The 21,179-nt window shown below is 48.3% G+C and overlaps 1 protein-coding gene and 1 long non-coding RNA gene across 26 annotated transcripts in view, besides 3 other annotated features; one reads left to right on the top strand and one right to left on the bottom strand.

Annotated features, from left to right (window-relative positions):
- DYNC2I1 (dynein 2 intermediate chain 1) overlaps positions 1 to 21,179 on the bottom strand; it is a 119,454-nt gene that overhangs the window by 84,777 nt on the left and 13,498 nt on the right. For 11 of the 25 annotated variants that reach the window (XR_007060058.1, XR_007060061.1, XR_007060060.1 and 8 more), the window contains exons 1-3: positions 16,258 to 16,351; positions 4,014 to 4,067; positions 2,360 to 2,780 (exon numbers count right to left, since the gene is read on the bottom strand). Coding sequence is in view for 13 of the 25 variants with exons in the window: in XM_047420555.1 (XP_047276511.1) it covers positions 2,360 to 2,711 (352 nt within the window). In the remaining 12 variants the exon portion in view is untranslated. Of the gene's footprint in view, positions 1 to 2,359; positions 2,781 to 4,013; positions 4,068 to 4,431; positions 4,645 to 10,346; positions 10,522 to 16,257; positions 16,358 to 17,171; positions 17,365 to 21,179 lie in introns of those variants that run through there. The other 14 variants (XM_006716041.3, NM_001350918.2, NM_001350917.2 and 11 more) reach the window with 6 other exon arrangements.
- Positions 11,863 to 12,362: an enhancer, noted in NCBI's record as "H3K4me1 hESC enhancer chr7:158654251-158654750 (GRCh37/hg19 assembly coordinates)". NCBI's record gives its function as "activates a minimal SCP1, AML or CMV promoter by ChIP-STARR-seq in naive H9 embryonic stem cells {active_cell/tissue: H9 hESC(naive)}" and the evidence as "EXISTENCE:reporter gene assay evidence [ECO:0000049][PMID:30033119]".
- Positions 15,947 to 16,488: an enhancer, noted in NCBI's record as "H3K4me1 hESC enhancer chr7:158650125-158650666 (GRCh37/hg19 assembly coordinates)". NCBI's record gives its function as "activates a minimal SCP1, AML or CMV promoter by ChIP-STARR-seq in naive H9 embryonic stem cells {active_cell/tissue: H9 hESC(naive)}" and the evidence as "EXISTENCE:reporter gene assay evidence [ECO:0000049][PMID:30033119]".
- Positions 16,839 to 17,308: a silencer, noted in NCBI's record as "silent region_18874". NCBI's record gives its function as "represses an Ori minimal core promoter by ATAC-STARR-seq in GM12878 lymphoblastoid cells {active_cell/tissue: GM12878}" and the evidence as "EXISTENCE:reporter gene assay evidence [ECO:0000049][PMID:35858748]".
- Positions 17,400 to 18,784, top strand: LOC124901796 (uncharacterized). The gene is made up of 2 exons (XR_007060627.1): positions 17,400 to 17,541; positions 18,526 to 18,784. It is a non-coding gene; the product is annotated as an uncharacterized LOC124901796 (long non-coding RNA).

Below are 21,179 nucleotides of genomic sequence, written 5' to 3'. Positions count from 1 at the left end.
AGCCAGGTGTGGTGGCGTGTGCTTATAGTCCCAGCTACTCGGGAGGCTGAGGCACGGGAATCACTTGAACCAGGGAGGCGGAGGCTGCAGTGGGCCGAGATCGCGCCTCTTCACTCCAGCCTGGGCAACAGAGTGAGACTCTATCTCCAAAAAGAATAATAAATTACCCAGGTGCAGTGGTGCGAGCCTGGAGACTCTGCTACTCAGTTCAAGGCTGTGGTGGGCTGTGATCACACCACTGCACTACAACCTGGGCGACAGGGCAAGACCCTGACTCTACTTTATTTCTTTAAGTAATAAATCAACAAATAAAATATATTTTTAAAGAAAACAAAATTAGTGGTAACCCAACTAACCCATCCATTCCACCTCATGTATATTCCACCCCAACAGAAACGCACATATATGAACACCAAAAAATACACATGATAACATTCTTAGCAGCCTTATTCCTAATAGTCTAAATCTTCAAACGACTCAAATGGCCACCAGCAGTGAAGGGGATAAACAGATCACCGTGTCTATAAGAGACATCTAATGGTGGCAATGAGTAAAGGCCCTTCGTTTCCATCCTTTTCACAGCCAGGCCTTCTAACCCTTCTGCTGATTCTAAGAGTGACTACCTGTTCTTCTAACAGATTCCTTCTGCATTTATATGCGCTAGTTTACATTTTTGTAAGAAGCATATACTACCTATATAACCAAAAAATACTGAAGAAATTTCCATTTGGGGAGGAAAAAAAGTATGTACCTTTACCTTACAGTTCCTAGGAATTTAGCTAAATAAAATAAAACACACTTTTAGAAAATATTTTTTATCAAAGAGGTTTATTTTTGTTTATTTACGATGAGGATTCAGATTTACGGAGATAATAAGCCTTATTGAGATAATAAGTCTAAAATATGGTTGTGTTTTTTGGGTTTTTTTTTTTAGACAGAGTCTCGCTCTGTCACCCAGGCTGGAGTGTAGTGGCGTGATCTCAGCTCATTGCAACCTCCTCCTCCCGGGTTCAAGTGATTCTCATGCCTCAGCCTCCCAAGCAGCTGTGCCACCACATCCAGCTAATTTTTGCTTTTCTTTTTTTTCAGTAGAGATGGGGTTTCGCCATGTTGGCCAGACTGGTCTTGAACTCCTGGCCTCAAGTGATCTGCCCACCTCGGCCTCCCAAAGTGCTAGGATTACAGGCATGAGGCACTGTGCCTGGCCCTAAAATATGTTTTAATAGTAAAACTCTAGCTAATAATGAGAAAATTGTTATTCCTTTCATTGGCTGAATGGTTTTTTTTTTCTTTTAGAGACAGAGTCTCGCTCTGTCTGGAGTACAGTGGCACAATCTCAGCTCACTATAACCTCCACCTCCCTGGTTCAAGCAATTCCCCTGCCTCAGCCTACTGAGTAGCTGGGATTACAGGCACACGCCACCATGCCTGGCTTAATTTTTTGTATTTTTAGTAGAGACAGGGTCTCACCATGTTGGCCAGACTGGTTTCGAACTCCTGACCTCAGGTGATCCACCCACCTTGGCCTCCCAAAGTGCTGGGATTACAGGCGTGAGCCACCGCGCCCAGCTGGCTAAATGGTTTTTAGAGCTTTTGTTTTTCTTTTGAGACAGGGTCTCACTCTGTTGCCCAGGCTGCAGTGCAGTGGCACAATCATAGCTTATTGCAGCCTCGACCTCCTGGGCTCAAGGGATCCTCCCACCTCGGCCTACCAAATAGCTAGAACTACAGGCAAGCGCCACCACACACAGCTAATTTTTTTATTTTTTGTAGTGATGGAGTCTCCCTGTGTTCCCCAAGCTGGTCTCAAAATCCTGGGCTGGAGTGATCCTCCCACCTCAGCCTCCCAAAGTGCTGGGATTACAGGTATGACCCACCACACCTGGCCTGAACAAGTTTTTAAAATACCAAAAGAAAAACAATGATAAAAAGTACACACACACACACCCCGCAACAGAGAGAACAGGAACCTCTAACTTCAAAGATAAAACATTTGTGAAAACTATGAGAGAAAACAAAAATAACAAATGAACATTTCAAAAGAGGAAAATGTCCCAAACAGCAAGAACTTTTAAAAGAAATAGAGCCAGCTGGGCACAGTGGCATGTCTGTAATGCCAGTCCTTTGGGAGGCTGCGGTGGGAGGATCCCTTGAGCCCAGGAAGTTGAGGCTGCCGTGAGCTGTGATGGCACCACTGCTCTCTAGCCTGGGGGCAGAGCAAGACCCTGTCCAGAAAAAAAAGGAAAGGGGAAGGAGGGAAGCGGGGGAGAGAGGGAGGGGAGGCAGCGAGCTATCAACCTGTCACCAGCAGCGACGCGGCACCTCGGGTGGAACCACAGGAAGGCAAGCGGGGACCCACCTGAGCGGCCTTTCCTCTCCGCCCGCTCCAGGAGCTGCCGGTCGCGTGTCTCCTGGCCCAGCAGGTTGTGGTGGGCCACGGTCTGCCGGAGCTCTTCCTTCCGGGCCCTTCTGTCTTTTTCTTTTTCCCTGTCCTTTCCTCTGCTGTGAGACTTTTCTGCCTCTCGATGTTTCTCCTTCAGCTTTTCTTTCTCCCGGTCTTTTGCGTCTCTTCTCCTCTCCCTCTGTCTGTCTCTGTCCCTCTCCCCACGAGGACTCTCCTTAGCGGTGTGGACTTCGGCCACCCTGTCTCTGCTCCTGGCATCCTGGTCGGGATCCCTGCACCTCGGCTCCTTATGTTCAGGAAGGTCCATCTCAGACTCCTTACGCAGCTTCTTCTCTCTGTGCTTTCTTTCTTCCTTGGAACCACCTGACTGTATGGCCTGAAACAAGAGAACAAAGGGTCCTCCGTGACCAGGAAGGCAGATTTCCATTAGACTTTTAATACCTGAATGTGAGAAGCACACACAGCTGAAGGGCCTTAAAACATATTTGCATTCAACTGCTTTCCAATCCCAGTTTCCAATCCCAGACGGGCCAAAGCCTGCATGGATGTTCTTAGAACACTAAAGGACATGGAGTCAAGCTTAGATTTCTACAACTGCCCACCAGCGCCCCAATATCATGGACATTCACACTGATCGGCAAATCAAATCTAAAATACTACGTGTATTAGAGGGTGAAAAATTACCCATTGGGTACAATGTTCACTATTCGGGTGACAGGTACTATTCGGGTGTCAGGAGCACTAACGGCCCAGACTTCACCACTCCACAAGATATGCATGTAAGAAACCTGCACCTGTACCCCCAAAATATGGAAAATAAAGTAAAATTCAAAAAAAATAAGTAGGACCAGGCATGGTATCTCACACCTATTATCCCAGCACTTTGGGAGGCTAAGGCAGGAGGATCACCTGAGGCCAGGAGTTCAAGACTAGCCCAAGCAACATAGCAAGATCCCCATCTCTCCCGCAAAAAATTAAAAAATTAAAAAATTAAAAAATTAGCAAGCCTGGTGGTTCATGCCTGTAGTCCTAGCTACTCAAGAGACTGAGGTGGGAGGACAGCTCAGGCCCAGAAGGTCAAGGCTGCAGTGGGCTATGATTTCGCCACTGCACTCCGGCCTAGGCAAAACGGTAAGACCCTGTCTCTAAAAAAAAGAGTAAAATTAATTAACTAAAAATAAATAAATAAAATACTACATGTGTTAAAAGAGAGATACTGAAGCTGTGTTTTAAAGTCGCTAAGACACAAACCGCCTGGGCCCCATACAAACAAGGACCCTCGTTCTAAAACTCTCAGGACTCTCTCTCAATCCCAAAGCCCCTCTCCCCACCCACCGCTGCGGCCCCTGAAGTGAGCACTCCCTGCCCTAAAGCAGTGCGGAGGCCCCTGAGCCATGGCAGAGCCCCACGAGCAGTGGGAGTGTCCAGCTGGCTTAACCAACGTTCCAGAGGGATTGTTAGCCGTACACCTTCACCTCTGAGTTCAAAGTACTTCTGAAATGAGGCACACATAACCAAAGTTATACAGTGTTGTGTACCAGGTAAAGCAGGTCCAAGAAAACCACACGAGTCCTGCACAGATCCCAATCCAAATCTTTACAATAATTACCCAGAGATGTTTTCTGAGGTCATCTGCTTTCCAGGTATCATCTTTGGTTCTTCTCTAAATAGAAAAGTATAAAGTTAGAATGTTTAAAATAATTTATTTTCAGTGTTGTAGTGAGCTGCTTTTTCATTATGCCATTTAAATCAATGGCAGTTAATTCTTGACATGCCAGAAAATACTTCTCTACCTCCTGGAATAAAAGGTAACAGAAATACAGATTTTTAAAAATTATTCACTAGTCTAAAATGACACATTATTATAAAATGTGTTCCTTTGGCTACTTCAAAACTTAAATATTATAAAATAAAAGTGAAAACAAGTTATAACAGCAGTTGAACAACAGAGGAAGGACAAATATTCTGTGGGTTTAAAATATCTTGTGTCAGACTGTATTTTCCAAAAACAGCCACAACAGACTCACGTCCCAAATGCTGTGCACACAGAGGGAGTCTGTGCTCCTTCTGCGGCCGCTGGGCTCAACCCAGGACAGAAGGTATCATGGGCCTCCCAGGACAATGGGTTTCTGCCTGGTCCTCCTGGGCTGCAGCTCCAGATACTTCCCTGTGAGGAAGAGAAGCAGCCCTGGGGAGAGGCCCCTGCAGATGCCACAGCCCAGAGGGTCCCTCACAGCAGATGCCACAGCCACGGGCCCAGAGGGTCCCTCACAGCAGATGCCACAGCCACGGGCCCAGAGGGGTCCCTCACAGCAGATGCCACAGCCACGGGCCCAGAGGGGTCCCTCACAGCCAGCACCAGGGCAGGTGCGTGAGAGGCACGGCTCCCGCAGCCCCTCATGAGTCACCACCTCCTGAACCTCAAGTCTCCCCAGCCGAGGCCCCAGGTACCAGCAACAGAACTAAGCCTGCTGCTGTGAGCTCTCCTGATCCACAGAGTATGTGAGAAAATTAGAAGGCTGCTGTTGTCTCACACCACAGCCTCTTACACAGCAACAGCAGCTGGGATGTATGACAGACAGAAATGAGTTTAGCATCTGGTGCATACCAGATGCTATCCTGTTCAAGCACCAATATTTAAATCTCATAACCCTACTAAGAAGGCTATCAGCTCAGTTTTTCTAATGAGGACAGTGAGGCATCACAAGGCTCAGCAGCTTTCAGCTCTAGAGTCCTGCCAAGGAACAAATCAGGAACAGAAACGACACCTGTGGACTGAATGCTCAAGGATCGGCAGAGAAAGCCTGCCTGTCCCTGAGGACACCCTATCACACCCGTCTGCTACACTGGGCAACTGGTGGGCCCACAAGCTCACCCGTGTCTCTGGCCCTCCAGGGCCCTGTACTTGTATTCAGCAAATACACACCAAGCTCCTCGCACACACCGAGCACTGCTGCAGAGCTGGGGCTGCGCAGATAAAACCCAAGAAAGGTTCCAGGCCCAAAAACACCGTCCAGCTCCTCTGATGTTTGTTGTTTCTACTGCGAAAGTGTTTGTTCCTCGTTGGATAATCCACCTTTCAAGTGTGATGACATCTCTCCAGCTAAGCCCTCACCTTCCGGAAAGGAAGGCCTATCTTAGTCCTCTGTGTCACCCAGCACTGCTTAGCATGTCGCAGCGCCTCACGACCACCAGCCATTAGAGAATCCACACTGTGCGTGCCGGGAAAGGCGGCATCCGGACAGCCAGCTCACCAGGTATCCAACTGTTCTAAGCATCTGAGGGGACTATTAAAATAACAAGGTGCCGTGGTCTTAAACCATTTCCACTGACTCTTCAACAACCCTTCCTTTACAAGTCAAGCTGATTCCCCTTCCTCGAACGTGGGCCAGATTCTATGTCACACTCTTCTTCATCATCGTCTTTTTGTTTTTTTGACAGGGTCTGGTTCTGTCACCCAGGCTGGAGTGCAGTGGCGCAACCTCGGCTCAAGTCATCCTCCCACCTCAGCCTCCTGAGTAGCTGGGATGACACCTGGCTAATATTTGTATTTTGTAGAGATGGAGTTCCGCCATGTTGCCCAAACTCCTCAGCTCAAGCCGCCCGCCCTGCCACACTTCTGATGAGGAGGACGGGGTGGAGGCCCAGCTGTGCGCCTTCCTGCTCAGGGTCCCTTCCAGAGCTTCCACCTGGCTGTGGTGCCCGCTTGCTCTCACCGCGCACCCTGGGAGACGCCATAGCACAAGGATGCCCAAGCACTCCCGGGGAGGCCCAGGAGAGGCCGGCACCAGCCCACACGTCAGAAGGGCCCCTCAGCCCAACGCAACCTTCAGAGAGCGTGAGGACTGCACCCTAACGTCCCCCCACGCCACCCCCAAACCCTAACCTACAGGAACCATGAGGACAGTAAAGGTTGACTGTGCTCTAAGGCAAGGTTGGGACTCCCCTTCTGCACCCTCGCCGCCACCTGGAGCGCCTCCTGTCACACTGCACCACTGCCTCCTGGCAACCCTCGCGATAGTGATTCCTACAAGATCCGCGCTGGTCTCCCCGAGGGGAGCATGAGCTTTGCCAGTGCAGCCACAGCTCCTTCTTCTGTGCCGCTCCTGCTCCACAGCTGCACTGAGGCCTCAGCAGAACCTCAGTGCAGAACACGCAGGTGCTTATCACCATGCCACAGTAACACACTCCAACAACACAGGGTACAGCCCTACAACCCCGGTACAACAGAGCTTCATGCTTAACCTAACCGCGTATCACCACGCCATAGTAACACACTCCAACAACACAGGGTACAACCCCACAACCCTACAACCCCACAACCCTGGTACAACAGAGCTTAATGATAAACCTAACCTCAGCTAAGCAAACTCAATCAAGGATGATTTCCTGCAGAGAATATACCATAATTATTCAATTTTTCCCTTTGAGAAACACTTCCTTAAAGGTATAAATAAAGGAAGCATTTGGGGGTTTGTTTCAAAAAAAAAAAAAAAAAACAGATTTAGTCCAAATGAAAAATGGAAACTTTTCATGGACAAGCCACTAAAACTCTTCCTGGAATGTGAAAATTAGGGCAAACAAAAAAAGCTGTAATACCTCATAAATATATTAAACAATTTTTTTTTTTTTTGAGACGGAGCCTTGCTCTGTCGCCCAGGCTGGAGTGCAGTGGTGCGATCTCAGCTCACTGCAACCTCCACTTCCTAGGTTCAAGCAATTCTCGTGGCTCAGCCTCCTGAGTAGCTGGGATTACAGGCGCCCGCCACCACGCCCGGCTAAGTTTCGTAATTTTAGTAGAGATGGGGTTACCCCATGTTGGTCAGGCTGGTCTCGAACTCCCAACCTCAGGTGAGCCCCCCACCTCGGCCTCCCAAAGTGCTGGAATTGCAGTTGTGAGCCACCACGCCCGGCCAACTATTTGTTTAAAGTTAACTCCTACAGAGAGGTTTAATATAGGACCTGCTATAAAAAAAGGGCTGAATGGAACCCAGGACACGAGTGACCAGAGAGGGGACGCCCAGGATACTCGGGGACAGTCCAACCAGGAGACCCAGGAGACCAGGGTACCACAGAGAGGGGACGCCCAGGACACCAAGGGGCAGTCCAACCAGGAAACGTGGGCACCACAGAGAGGGGACACCCAGGACACTCAGGGACAGTCCAACCAGGAGACATGGGCACCACAAAGAAGGGATGCCCAGGACACCAATGGACAGTCCAACCAGGAGACATGGGCACCACAGAGAGGGGACACCTAGAACATTAGGGGACAGTTCAACCAGGAGACGTGGGCGCTGCACACAGGGGACGCTGAGGACATTCAGGGGACACTGGGAAGGCACAAGGCCACTAGCTCAGAATGTGAAAAGTAAGTATGTCACAAAACCCATCCAGTGGGGTTTCTTAATGGTTAACATTACTGATACTGACAAAGTTAAAAACCCTGAAGACAAGAGGTCTCTGACAGAGATCACAGGATTTTTCTTCGGCCTCTCTACTTTTCAGTATGAAAAGTAACAGCCATTTTCTTAAATGCACAGAATACTGACTACTTTGGAGCGCTTAAAACTCAGCTAATATGGACTGTTTACCCTCAAGTTTTCTATCCATGCTGTCTCCCTCTAGAGTTTCAAACTGTTCAACAGTGATTTACGACTTCCCTGCCCCGGTGCTGTCGGTCCCCACTTGCCACATGTAAACCACATGCTTCTGCCAAGGCCTTTTAAAGACCAACTTGACCTGCCCTCAGACTCTGCCCTATGGAGCAGCCCAGCAATCCACGCTTAAAATCAACTCTCCAAGTATGGAACCAAAGGGCAAAGTTCCCCAGCACTCCCAGGAGTGGAACAAACCCCAGCCTGGGGACTGGGGTGAGGAGACTCAGGAGAGCTAAGCAGCAAAACCATCAGCATGATTCAGCCCACGCACTAGTGGATGAGAACTGGAGCCTGCGGTCTTCAGCATCTGCAAGCACCTGTCCTGGGCCAGCATCCTTCATGCACATGGCAAGCAAACAGGAGATGAGCGGCTGCCCAGCACCAGCTCCCCAGGGCCTCTGTCCCTCGATTTATGCTCGATTTACATCAACTAAATCATCTAGAACCTTTTCATAACAAAATTCTATTGAGAACTGTACAGTAAGAACCCTGAACAATGTTTACATCCCTTTGATTTGCCTCCCGAATAAAACAGATGAAACTGATTTAACTCCCCTTCCCCTCAATGCAGGGCTTCAAGGGAATTCTTTTCCCCACTCTCATCTCATCCTGAAATCCAAGGAGAAGTAAACCTGGGCTGAAATCACTTCCAAGGTGGTATCACCTCCAAGGTGCACCATCAGAGGTGGTGAAGCCAAAACCTCACTTCAGGGAGGACACTCACAGCCCAGATGGAAAGCAAACCCCACCCCTGTGCCATCTTGTCCGACCCCCACTACGAGTGGGTGTGAGGGCTTCCGCGCTCTGTAAGCCAAACAGCAGAAGCCCCTGGACCTGACGCTCATTGTTCCTGCCACATAACCTCCGACAGCTGGGCAGACTCCAGCGAGAAGGTGCCACTGGCATCTGCAGCCACCTGTGGGCAGTGGGCTTCTCCCCTTGCTTTCTAACCCAGCCTCCTCTTTTAGAAAACACTCATCAGAGGTTAAAGTTAAATACTGATTTGAACTAGTTAATTGAACATTAAGAAATGTTTAAAAGAAGTTATTTTGAGCCAGGCATGGTGGCTCACACCTGTAATCCTAACACTTTGCTAGGCTGAGGTAGGAAGATTACTTGAGCCCAGGAGTTCAAGACCAGCCAGGGCAACACAGCAAGACCCCATCTCCATCAAAAAAAAAAATCAGCCAAGCATGGTGATTCAACCGCAGTCCCAGCTACTCAGGAGGCTAAGACAGGAGGCTCACTTGAGCCCAGGAGGTCGAGGCTGCAGTGAGCTGTGATAACTGCCACTGCACTCCAGCCCAGGCAACACAGCGAAACCCCATCTCTATTAAAAAATAAACAGAGGAAAGCGTCACCAGATACTACTATTTCTGCTTATAACATGTTTCTAAATCCACTCTTCCTTCCAGGGACACTGCCATAAATCCATTCTGGACCTTCAGGATGACCACTAGCTCTGTGCAAAGCAGCAAAGGCACTCTCCAGCCTGAGTCCCCACATGACAGAGACACCGCGGCCCAACCCTGTGACATTCATCTACATGGACCCAGTGGTATAGCGCTGACGTCCACATCGTCATCCTGTTCCCTGCATGACACTGAGAAAGAAAAGAAACTAATCTGAGGAATGTGAGCTCCTTTAAATGTTTAGGCCCAGAGCCACTGAAATGTGACAGTGGTCACGTCTCATTCCCCGCCACACCCAGAGCTAAGAACGTCTGCTCCCCCCCCCACACCCGGAGCTAAGGACGTCCCTCTCCCCCCACACCACACACACACACCGGGAGCTAAGGACTTCCCGCTCCCCACCCCGCCACACCCAGAGCTAAGGACGTCCCGCTCTCCCCCACATCCGCAGCTAAGGACGTCCTGCTCCCCGCAACACCAGGAGCTAAGGACGTCCCGCTCCCCACCCCCACACACGGAGCTAAGGACGTCCCGCTCCCCACCCCCACACACGGAGCTAAGGACGTCCCGCTCCCCCCTCCAACACCCTCCAACACCCGGAGCTAAGGACGTCCGGCTCCCCACCAAACACCCAGAGCTAAGGACGTCCCGCTCCCCCCCGCCCCCACACCGGGAGCTAAGGACGTCCCCCTTCCCCCCACACACCCGGAGCTAAGGACGTCCCGCTCACCGCCCCCCCCACACACACCAGGAGCTAAGGACGTCCCGCTCTCCCCACACCCCCCCCCAGCTAAGGACGTCCCGCTCACCGCCCCCCCCAAACACACCCGGAGCTAAGGACGTCCGGCTCACCGCCCCCCTCACACACACCTGGAGCTAAGGAAGTCCCGCTCCTCCCACACCCAGAGCTAAGTAAGCAGCCTGCTTTATGACCTCTTGACTCAGCATCACCACCAACAGCCATATTATTATTATTTAAAGAGTCTCATTCTGTCACCCAGGCTAGAGTTCAGTGGTGCCCAGAGGTGAAGCCTCCTGGGCTTCTGGGTGGGTGGGGACTTGGAGAACTTTTCTGTCCAGCTAAAGGACTGTAAACACACCAATCAGGACTCTGTCTTGCTGAAGGTTTGTAAACGCACCAATCAGCACTCTGTAAAAACGGACCAATCAGCGCTCTGCGTCTAGCTAAAGGTTTGTAAACGCACCAATCGGCACTCTGTAAAAATGCACTAATCAGCACTCTGTGTCTAGCTAAAGGTTTGTAAACGCACCACGATGTGGGCAGGGCCAAATAAGGGAATAAAAGCTGGCCCCCCTCCCCCCACCCCCAGCCAGCAGTGGCAACCTGCTTGGGTCCCCTTCCACACTGTGGAAGCTTTGTGCTTTGTTCTTCACAATAAATCTTGCTGCTGCTCACTCTTTGGGTCCACGCTACCTTTATGAGCTGTAACACTCACTGCAAAGGTCTGGGGCTTCACTCCTGAAGTCAGCGAGACCATGAACCCACCGGGAGGAACAAACAACTCCAGATGCGCCATCTTTAAGAGCTGTAACGCTCACTGCGAAGGTCTGTCGCTTCACTCCTGAAGTCAGCAAGACCACAAACCCACCAGAAGGAAGAAACTCCAGACACATCTGAACATGTGAAGGAACAAACTCCGGACACACCATCTTTAAGAATTGTAACACTCGCCGCGAGGGTCTGTGGCTTCATTCTTGAAGTCAGCGAGACCAAGAACCCACCAGAAGGAACCAACTCCGGACACAGTGCTATCATAGCTCACTACAGCCTTGACCTCCTGTGCTCAAGAAATCCTCCCACCTCAGCCTCCTGAGTAGCTGGGGCTACAGAAATGCACCACCATGCCCAGGCTTTTTTTTTTTTTTTTTTTTAAGAGATAGGGTCTTGCTATGTTGCCCAGGCTGGCCTCGAACTCCCATCCTCAAACAATCCTCCCTCCCAAAGTGCCAGGATTACAAGCATGAGCCACCACACCTGGCCAATAGCCATAAATTAACCTACCAATGTCATACACTGGACACCAGAATTCGTAACCTGCAGTTCAGTGATGTATAACCAATCAATAATCAATGTTATTTCTGTAAACCAGTACTTGACAAAGTATTTTGTAATCGTCCCCTGATTCGTCCTTTTCTCTTTAAACACTCAAGCCTCTCCTTTGTTCTCTGGAGCGCCTCCCAGTGTTTCCCAGGCTGTGGCCCTGATAGTCTCTATAATTAATTTTGCCTGGATTTTCTTTAGGTTGACGACACCAACATTAATTCTCAGAATTACAGAGTGGAATGAGCAGGAGCACTAACGGCCAGAGTGGTGTGCTTCACTAACCCTGCATGGCAACACACCAAACTAGGGCGCACGCTAAGAGACCCAGAGGGCAAGGCTGGCTCCCGCCTTTAGGACTGGGACATAATTTATCCTTTGCTGTCCTCATTTTTTTTCCAAAATTCCTTACACTAGAATTTTTAAGTTATCAAATTACTTAGGGCCAAATTATGAAATGCAGCCTATCCAGGTCTTCATTCTATTACTTGACTGTGTAACTGACGCTCCCTGGTAGGAAAAGTGCTCTGAAGAAAACGGTAACGAAGAAAACTAGGATGATCAGTTTCCATCACTGAATCCAAGGTTATTCCCTACAGTCACCGTAATTCACTCACCTAGGCCCTGGCTGGTGACCACACAGGCTGCTTCTAACACTCTGTACTCCATGTGACAAACGTGGCTGCAGGGAGCACCTGTGTTTTCGGTATGCATGTATTTGCAGATGAGAGTCCTATCTGTGAGCTGCTACGTCAAAGCTACGTCAAAGCGGCAGATGCCTAAAATGCTGCTGCGCTGAGTCTATTTTGTAGACAGAGCTGACCTCAGGCTGATTCCTTTCTAGACTTGGCTGACAGATGAGAAGTGTGGGGAGGGGGATGCCAGACTTTCGAGTGGTGAAATAGATTTCATTCAGTAACTGCAGGCGGGACGGGAAACAGCTGAGCTCCATTTCTGTTTGCACTGAGGTGAGGGAGTGTTTTAGGGGAGAACCCGGGCTAGGGGAGCTCAAGTGAAAAATTACAAAGGCTGGTCAGTGTGAGATTAAGCTCGCTGTGTCTGCTAGCTGATAATTACAGTAGTTAGGATTCTACCTTCCCAGAGAGACCAGAACAGAGGCCATCCTGTCCTTTCTGATATCTTTTCAAAGACACTCCTGAATTGCAGATTTAGAGACATCTCAAAAGGACAGAGAAGGATTCATAATTTAAGCCCTTTTAAACTCTCTTCAGAAAGGATGTCAGGGACCTATCCCCAGGTGTTGGCTAAAACAAACAGTAAATTATTCTGACAGCCCTGAGCTCTTTCAGACAACACTGAGCTGGGTTGTCCCAGAGGTGGCCTTACACCGCGAGGAGCAGTGTTAAACTTTCGTCAAGAATCAGCACAGGGCTTTGAATGGAGAGTTCATGCCAGAGTTTCTGCAGTTCTCTGGAGGAACCCCACAAGCGGATTGGTGAGGACCAACCTTGGAGACCCCACTGTAGCTACTCTAAAACATTCAGCCTTTCTAAAAACAGAATGAAACGGCATTGCACTGTACCTAAACAGTTCACATCACTAGTACATATCTCACATGAAAATAAAAAGGGTAGAAATTTATTTTAAACTAAGAATAACCTAAAAAACATGTCTACATTTTTCAAGCTATGATTAATAAATTTCATAACAATAAACTCACACATTACCTATCAATTGTTTGGTATGTAACAAAAAAACTTAGAAATTTCTAAAATTTTCATTGACCATAAAAATTAATAGTCATACACATTGTAAACAAGATAAATTAAAGAGTTTTGAAAGAGCTAATATTAAAGAAAATTGTCACCATGCAGGCAGGTGTAAAGCCTGCAAAGGTACCATTAAGTTTTTTCCAATAGCTACGACATACTGAAACTTGGTATGATCTCAGTACAAATAAAGAACATAAAACTATTTATATTCATCAGATTAATTATGTGAGCAACTAAGTACAATGAAACAAACTGAAAGAAATGCTTGGTGTATACTAAAAGCTATAATACCAGCGGGGTGAGATGGCTCACGCCTGTAATCCCAGCACTTTGGGAGACTGAGGCTGGTGAATCACCTGAGGTCAGGAGTTCCAGACCAGCCTGGCCAACATGGTGAAACCGTGTCTCTACTAAAAATATAAAAAAAATTAGCCCAGCATAGTGGTGCATGCCTGTAATCTCAGCTACTTGCGAGGCTGAGGCAGGAGAACTGCTTGAACCCGGGAGGCAGAGAATGGAGTGAGCTGAGATCATACCACTGCACTCCAGCCTAGGGGACAAGAGTGAGACTTCGTCTCCAAAAAAAAAAAAAAACTCTAATACCAAAATAATCCAATACAATTTTATTCCAGTAATCTCATGAAAACTTTATCCTTCCCCTTACCTTATGAAATAGACTATACTAATTAATTCTATATCACAGCCTAATAGTTACATAATTAGATTCTAATGACCCATGGGTTAACTTCCTAAAAAGTTAAAGACCGACTTGCAATTGAGAACCTGTTACAGGAATTCATTAGTTGCCAGGAAATATCCAGCTCTGAGATCTGTTGCTTTTGCTACTTTAAAAATGTTTATTTACTGGCCTGGCACAGTGGCTCATGCCTATAATCCCAGCACTTTGGGAGGCCGAGGTGGGCGGATCAAGACCAGCCTGGACAACACGATGAAATCCCGTCTCTGCTAAAAATACAAAAATTAGCTGGGCGTGATGACACACATCTGTAATCCCAGCTACTCAGGAGCCTGAGACAGGAGGACCGCTTTAACCTGGGAGGTGGCGGTTGCAGTGAGCTGAGATCACGCCATTGCACTCCAGCCTGGGCGACAGAGCGAGACTCTGTCTCAAAAAAAATGAATTTTATGTATTAAATATGTATCAGAATAAAACCCCAAGGGACAGTCAAATGTCAAAAATAACGAATGAAAAAAGATCTATAACAAACTACATCCATATTCAAAACATCACAGATAAAGATCCTAAATCTTCTGGAGAGAAAGAAAATGTTACTCACAAAGATATCTCATCAGCCAAACACACTGCTAGAAGACAAAAGTAAACCATCTTCAAAGTTCTGGGAAATTATTTTGCTCCTAGAATTCTATGCTAAGCCAAACTCTTAAACAATCTATCAGTATAATAAGGATATTCTTAGGGCATACAGTTTTCTTCCCACATATACTCTTGTCTAAAAAGGTATGCGACAGGCCAGGCATGGTAGCTCGCACCTGTAGTCCCAGCACTTTGGGAAGCCAAGGCAAGAGCGTTGCTTGAGCCTGGGAGGTTTAGGCTGCAGTGAGCTGTGAGCGTGTCACTGCACTCCAACTTGGGTGAAAGAGCAAGACTCTGAAGAAAGGAAAGGAGAGGAAAGGAAAGGGGGGGAGGGGAGGAAAGGGGAGGGGAGGAAAGGGGAGGGGAGGGGAGGAAAGGAAAGGGGAGGGGGGAGGGGAGAGGGGAGGGGAGAGGAGGAGAAGGGAGGGGAAAGGGGAGGGCAGGGGAAAGGGGAGGGGAGAGGAAGGGAGGGGAAAGGGGAGGGGGGAGGGGAGAGGAAAGTGGGGGGAGGGGATACTCCACTGGAAAAAGCATGGAGATTTCAAAAAAGAGGGAGACACTTGATCCAAGAAACAGTAGGCCTAACCCAGAAGCACAATGAGAAAGAATTCCCAGATCATAGCTCTGTGCATGTCTAGAAAACAATTTGTCCTGATGAGAACATAAAGTCAGTGAGCTCTGGGAAGAATTTAAGAGAATTTCATTAAACAGGTAATATGACACTAATAAGCTAGAAGACATCATAAGGTTTAAAAATTTAAAACAGCTTATGTTCTTTTTTGCCAAAACTAAAAAAACAGGGCAAATAGGGCCATTTATGAAAGACATGGTCCAAATGATAAGCAAACTTCATTGTGGTACATTAACTGAATGTAACAAAAGATGACCCCTTTGACCCTGACACCAGAAACATTGTTCCCTGAGTAGAGTGAGCTTAGAATACAGGACTCCATTGTATCTATTGGTCCAATCTGACTATTTGGTTCTGCAATGAAAACGTATATAACCATGATGTTATAGTGTTTATTGGTTTTCATTTTTAAAATCAACCTATAAACAAATCACGGACAATGTAAGTTACAGAGTAACTTAAAGAAATGTAAAGAGAATAGCATAGAAGATGACAGGGTCAGGAAATTAGTGGGTTTAGGGAGAAATGGGGAGTGCAGGGCAGTAGCTTCTTAATCTTAACTAGGGGAAAGTTAAAAAATACTATCTAAGGTTGGCCTAGCGCGGTGGCTCACGCCTGTAATCCCAGCACTTTGGGAGGCCAAGGCGGGCGGATCACCGGAGGTCAGGAGTTCGAGACCAGCCTGACCAACATGGAGAAACCCCATCCCTACTAAAAATACAAAAATTAGCCAGGCATAGTGGCACCTGCCTGTAATCCCAGCTACTCGGGAGGCTGAGGCAGGAGAATCGCTGGAACCCAGGAGTTGGAGGTTGCGGTGAGTAGAGATCGTGCCACTGTACTCCAGCCTGGGCGACAAGGGGAATTATCTTTAAAAAAAAAAAAAAAAAAAGGCCGGGTGCAGTGGCTCACGAAGTCAGGAGATCAAGACCATCCTGGCCAACACGGTGAAACCTCATCTCTACTAAAAATACAAAAATCAGCTGGGCTTGGTGGCGGACATCTGTAATCCCACCTACTCGGGAGACTGAGGCAGGAGAATCTCTTGAACCCTGGAGTCGGAGGTTGCAGTAAGCCAAGTTCGTGCCATTGCATTCCAGCCTGGTGACAGAGTGAGACTCCATCTCAAAAAAAAAAAAAAAACAAAAACCTAAGGTTTATATAACATAAAATACAAATTAAGGAGTATTATTCAACACATAAAGGTAAGTGATGGGGAAAAAATAATAGGAGTGAAGGTAGAAGAAAATGTATGCAAATTAAATTCCTCATCTTTCAGTGGGGAATCAATAGATAAGAATAATACAGTAATATCTAACATTTATTGAGTGTTAATGAAAGCAGGCACTGGTCTATGCACTTTTACACATAATATCTCACTTAACCTTCTTAAACACCCTATAATGTTGCTATTATTATTGTGCCCATTGAATGAATTAGGAAACAAGACATGTTAAGTGAGTTTGCCAAGGTCATACAAGTAAATACAAAATCCTGAATTCAAACTCAAGCACCCAGGCTGCACTCTCTCAACCTCTTAAACTGTGACAAGTCATATTTAAACTTAAGTCAGCTAAAATTTAATAAACTTTTAAATATGTCTCCTCAGCCACCCCGGCCCCGCAGCAGGGGCCGAGGCCGCCTCCAGGCCGGGCGCGAGGAGACGGGCCGCGGCGGCGACCCCAGGCCTGAGGCTGCACAGACCGCCTCTCCCGACCGCCGGGAGCCCGGCGTCCTGCCATCCCTCGCGCCGACGGCCAGCCGCGCCTCCGTTTCCCTTCCTGCCTCGGAGGCACCGCGGCTCCTCCGGGAAGCCCCGGCCCGGCCGAGAGAACCGCTGCGCAAAGGGAGGGCGGCGGCGGCGCTGCTAGCGGCGCCCGAAGGAGTCCGCGAAGCTCGACCACCCCTCGCCCAGACCCAGCGCCGCACCGACCTTCCCGGGCTCCATCGCTTCCCGCAGGCCCGGGCGGCCGCGGTGTCCTCGGCCCCGGCCAGGCGCGGTCCACCCCGAAGAGGCCACCTGTGCCCCGCACCCTTCGGGAGGCGCGTCCCAGCGCCTAGCAACCGACAAGCAGGAGCAGCAGAGGGCCCAGAAGCACTGCCCAGCGTGCCCTGCGGCCTCTCCCAGTGCGCCTGCGCATCCCCGGCATTTTTAGCACCTGGCAGGCAGGAGCAGGGGAAGGCCGAGTGGTCGCTGCTCGGCGTGCCCGCGGCCCCTCCCAATGCGCCTGCGCTTCCCCGGCTCCTAGCAACCGCCAGGCAGGAGCAGCAGAGGACCGAGCGGTCGTTGGTCTCCCCAAGGGGTAGGTGCAGTACCCTGACTTGGGGTGCAGGGGCTCTTGACTCGCCCCAACCCGCCCCGGGTTCCCACGGGACCGGACTGACAGTCGGGGAAGATAGAAAGGGAGAGCAGATATTGAAAAGAGCTTTACGTTTGAGGCCGAGCGCGGTGGCTCACCCCTGTAATCCCAGCACTTTGGGAGGCGGAGGCGGGTGGATCATGAGGTCAGGAGATCGAGACCATCCTGGCTAACACGGTGAAACCCCGTCTCTACTAAAAATACAAAAAAAAAAAATAGCTGGGCGCAGTAGCAGGCGCCTGTAGTCCCAGCTACTCGGGAGGCTGAGGCAGAAGGATGGCGTGAACCTGGGAGACGGAGCTTGCAGTGAGCGGAGATCACGCCACTGCACTCCAACCTGGGCGACAGAGCGAGACTCTGTCTCAAAAAAAAAAAAAAAAAAAAGAAAAGAGCTTTACATTTGAATAAGGCTTTGCACTTAACAAATTATATTCCCATATGTCGTCTTTTGATAAAAACAAGCAGTAAGGTAGGCAGGAATCAACGTTGAGAGACTGTTTTTATACAACACGTAAGGGAAAATCAAAAACTCTCAGGACCTCCGAACTCCTTCAGCCAAAGGGAAAGTTAGGGCTGAAAGCCTGAAACCGCCTTTTCAAAATTATGACTGAGGCAGTAAAAGAGGTGTAACTTAACCCACAGCATCTTGCTTCTGACCTCCAAGCTGTGCTTGTTCCTTCCTGGCAGTAGGCTGAACTAACTTTGGGAGAAACTTAGTTTATATTTTATAATTTAAACACAGACGGTAACAGCCCTTTCCCAAAGCAGGCCTTCTTGCCTGGGGACTTGATTGCCTTTGTAGGACTGATGTTAGCCACAAGATTAGAAATTACGTTTTAGGAGTAGTTTCTAATATGCAGCTGGAGGCTACAATATTCTGACCCTCCCTAAACTGCTCCTAAGATCAGTGCTTGAGATATTTTGCAGAACCTGCACTTGATGGATCAGCTGGCACCACCCAGATCAATAAACTGGCTCATCAGATCTTGTGGCCCCTCACCCAGGAACTGATAAGGGCAAGAAGACCGCTTTGACTCCCTATGATTTCATCTCTGACCAATCAGCACTCCTGGCTCACTGGCTTCCCCCCACCCAAGTTATCCTTGAAAACTCTGATCCCTGAATGCTTCAATGCTCAAGGAGATGGATTTGAGTAATAATAAAACTCTAGTCTCCTGCACAGCCAGCTCTGTGTAAATTACTCTTTCTCTATTGCAATTCCCCCATCTCGATAGGCTCTGTCTAGGCAGCGGGCAAGGTGAACCCCTTGGGTGGTTGCAAGCCGAGTCGCCCAACACCCTCTTCCAAATGCACAGCTGTTGCTTTGCAGGCTGCAAGGCTCCTGCCAGCCAGGCCCCCGTGAAGGCAGGGCCGGGCACCTTGGCCCCCACCAGTCTCCCAGGTGTAAATGTTTTGCCAGCCTGGAGACCTTTCAAGATGTGTGTCCTCACTTAAACAAAGACACGCCAATTGTAACTTTAGATCTGCAACTTAAGTCTGAAACTACCTCTGCAAGAATTAGAACTGAGAAAATTATGACAGTGAAAGAGATCTAACCTGACTCCATCTTGCTTCTAACCTCCAAGCTGTCCTTGTCCATTCCTGGTCGTAGAATAGTTTAACTTTGAAAGAAAGATAACAGCCCTTTCCCAAAACAAACCCCCTTCTCTTTTTTTATTATTATTATACTTTAAGTTCTGGGGTACATGTGCAGAACGTGCAGGTTTGTTACATAGGTATACACATGCCACGGTGGTTTGCGACACCCATCAACCCGTCATCTACATTAGGTATTTCTCCTAATGCTATCCCCCAGCCCCCCCCGACAGACCCCCACGTGTGATGTTCCTCTCCCTGTGTCCATGTGTTCTCATTGTTCAACTCCCACTTATGAGTGAGAACATGCGGTGTTTGGTTTTCTGTTCTTGTGATAGTTTGCTGAGAATGATGCAAACCCTCTTCTTGCTGGGGACTAGATGGCCTTTGGAGGACTAACAAATTAGCCATGAGATTAGAAATTATGGTTTAGGAGTCATGCAGCTAAAGGCCACAAGATTCTAAACCTCCTCAATTACTCCTAGGGATAATATCACTATTGTAAAACCTAAGATTGGTGCTTGAGACATTTTTCAGTCCCTTCACTCAATGGGTCGGCTGGTGCAACCCAGATGGATAAACTGGCTCATCTGGTCTTGTGACCCCCACTTAGGAACTGACTCAGCGCAAGAAGACAGCTTGGATTCCCTGATTTCATCTCCAATCCTACCAATCAGCACTCCCCACTTCTCAACGCCCCCCCACCCACTAAATTATCCTTCAAACTCCAATCCTCAAATTTTGGGGGACACTGATTTGAGCAATAATAAAACTCCACTGGGCATGGTGGCTCATGCCTGTAATCCCAGCACTTTGGGAGGCTGAGGCAGGCAGATCACCTGAGGTCGGGAGTTTGAGACCAGCCTGACCAACATGGAGAAAGCCCGTCTCTACTAAAAATACAAAATTAGCTGGGTGTGGTGGTACATGCCTGTAATCCCAGCTACTTGGGGGCTGAGGCAGGAGACTCTCTTGAACCCAGGAGTGGGAGGTTGCAGTGAGCCAAGATCGCGCCACTGCACTCCAGCCTGGGCAACAAGAGCAAAACTCCATCTAAAAAAAAAAAAAAAAACCTCTGGTCTCCCATACAGCCGGCTCTGCGTGAATTAAATTCTTTCTCTATTGCAATTTCCTATCTAGATAAATCATCTCTGTCTGAGCAGCCGGCAAGGAGAACCTGTTGGGCGGTTACAAGTCCAGCTCATAAAAACTAAGGTCTAAAACGAAAGACTGTTCAACTTCACACTGATAATGACCAAGAAAACCTTGGTCACCCCATGCAGATGAGGCCTCCAGGTAGCAGGCTTCAGAGAGAATCGACTGTAAATGCTTCTTACCAGACTTAAAGAAGCCTGTTCCATCCGTGATTCCAAAAGGGAGGAGGGTATCATGAGGCATGTCCATCTCCCTCTTCCCATCATGTCCTGAACTACTTCTTCAGGTTAAGTTTGGAATGCCCTTGGCCAAGGAGGAGTGGTCCATTCAGATGGTTGGGGGTCTTACAATTTTATTTTTGGTTTACATCCTCCCCTTGTGGCCAACATTTGTCAGAGGCAACACCAGTGGCCACCAAGCTTTTGTTTTGTTCCATAGCATTGCCAGGGTGACATGGCTGCCTGCCCTGGATCTGTCCTGTCTCTCAGCGGGACACCCTATGGCCAAGAGACTTAGAGTCAAAAGACTTGTAGCCAATTAAAATGTTCTAGGCCAAATGGGAATGGACACAGACAAGCATTCATTAACCCTTAAAAATTTAAGTAAAAAGCCAACAAACAAAAAGCCAAGGGCGAGGTTACAAACCTGACTGAGCTACTGTAATCTTGGTTTTAGTTACAGACTTATAGCAATTAGCTATACAGAACATAAGCATTGTTAAAACCTTTTAAGCTAAGGATTTTTAGAGACTTTTGTTGTGCTGCAATGCTTTTTATTGTCCTTTAGTAATTTGTCCTAAAATGGCTAATAAAATTTTTTATTTTTATTTT

Source organism: Homo sapiens, chromosome 7 (assembly GCF_000001405.40).
Source record: "Homo sapiens chromosome 7, GRCh38.p14 Primary Assembly".
Classification (NCBI taxonomy): Eukaryota; Metazoa; Chordata; class Mammalia; order Primates; family Hominidae; genus Homo; species Homo sapiens.
The sequence above is the reverse complement of the archived record's forward strand: the minus strand, read 5'-3'. Positions and strand labels throughout refer to the sequence as shown.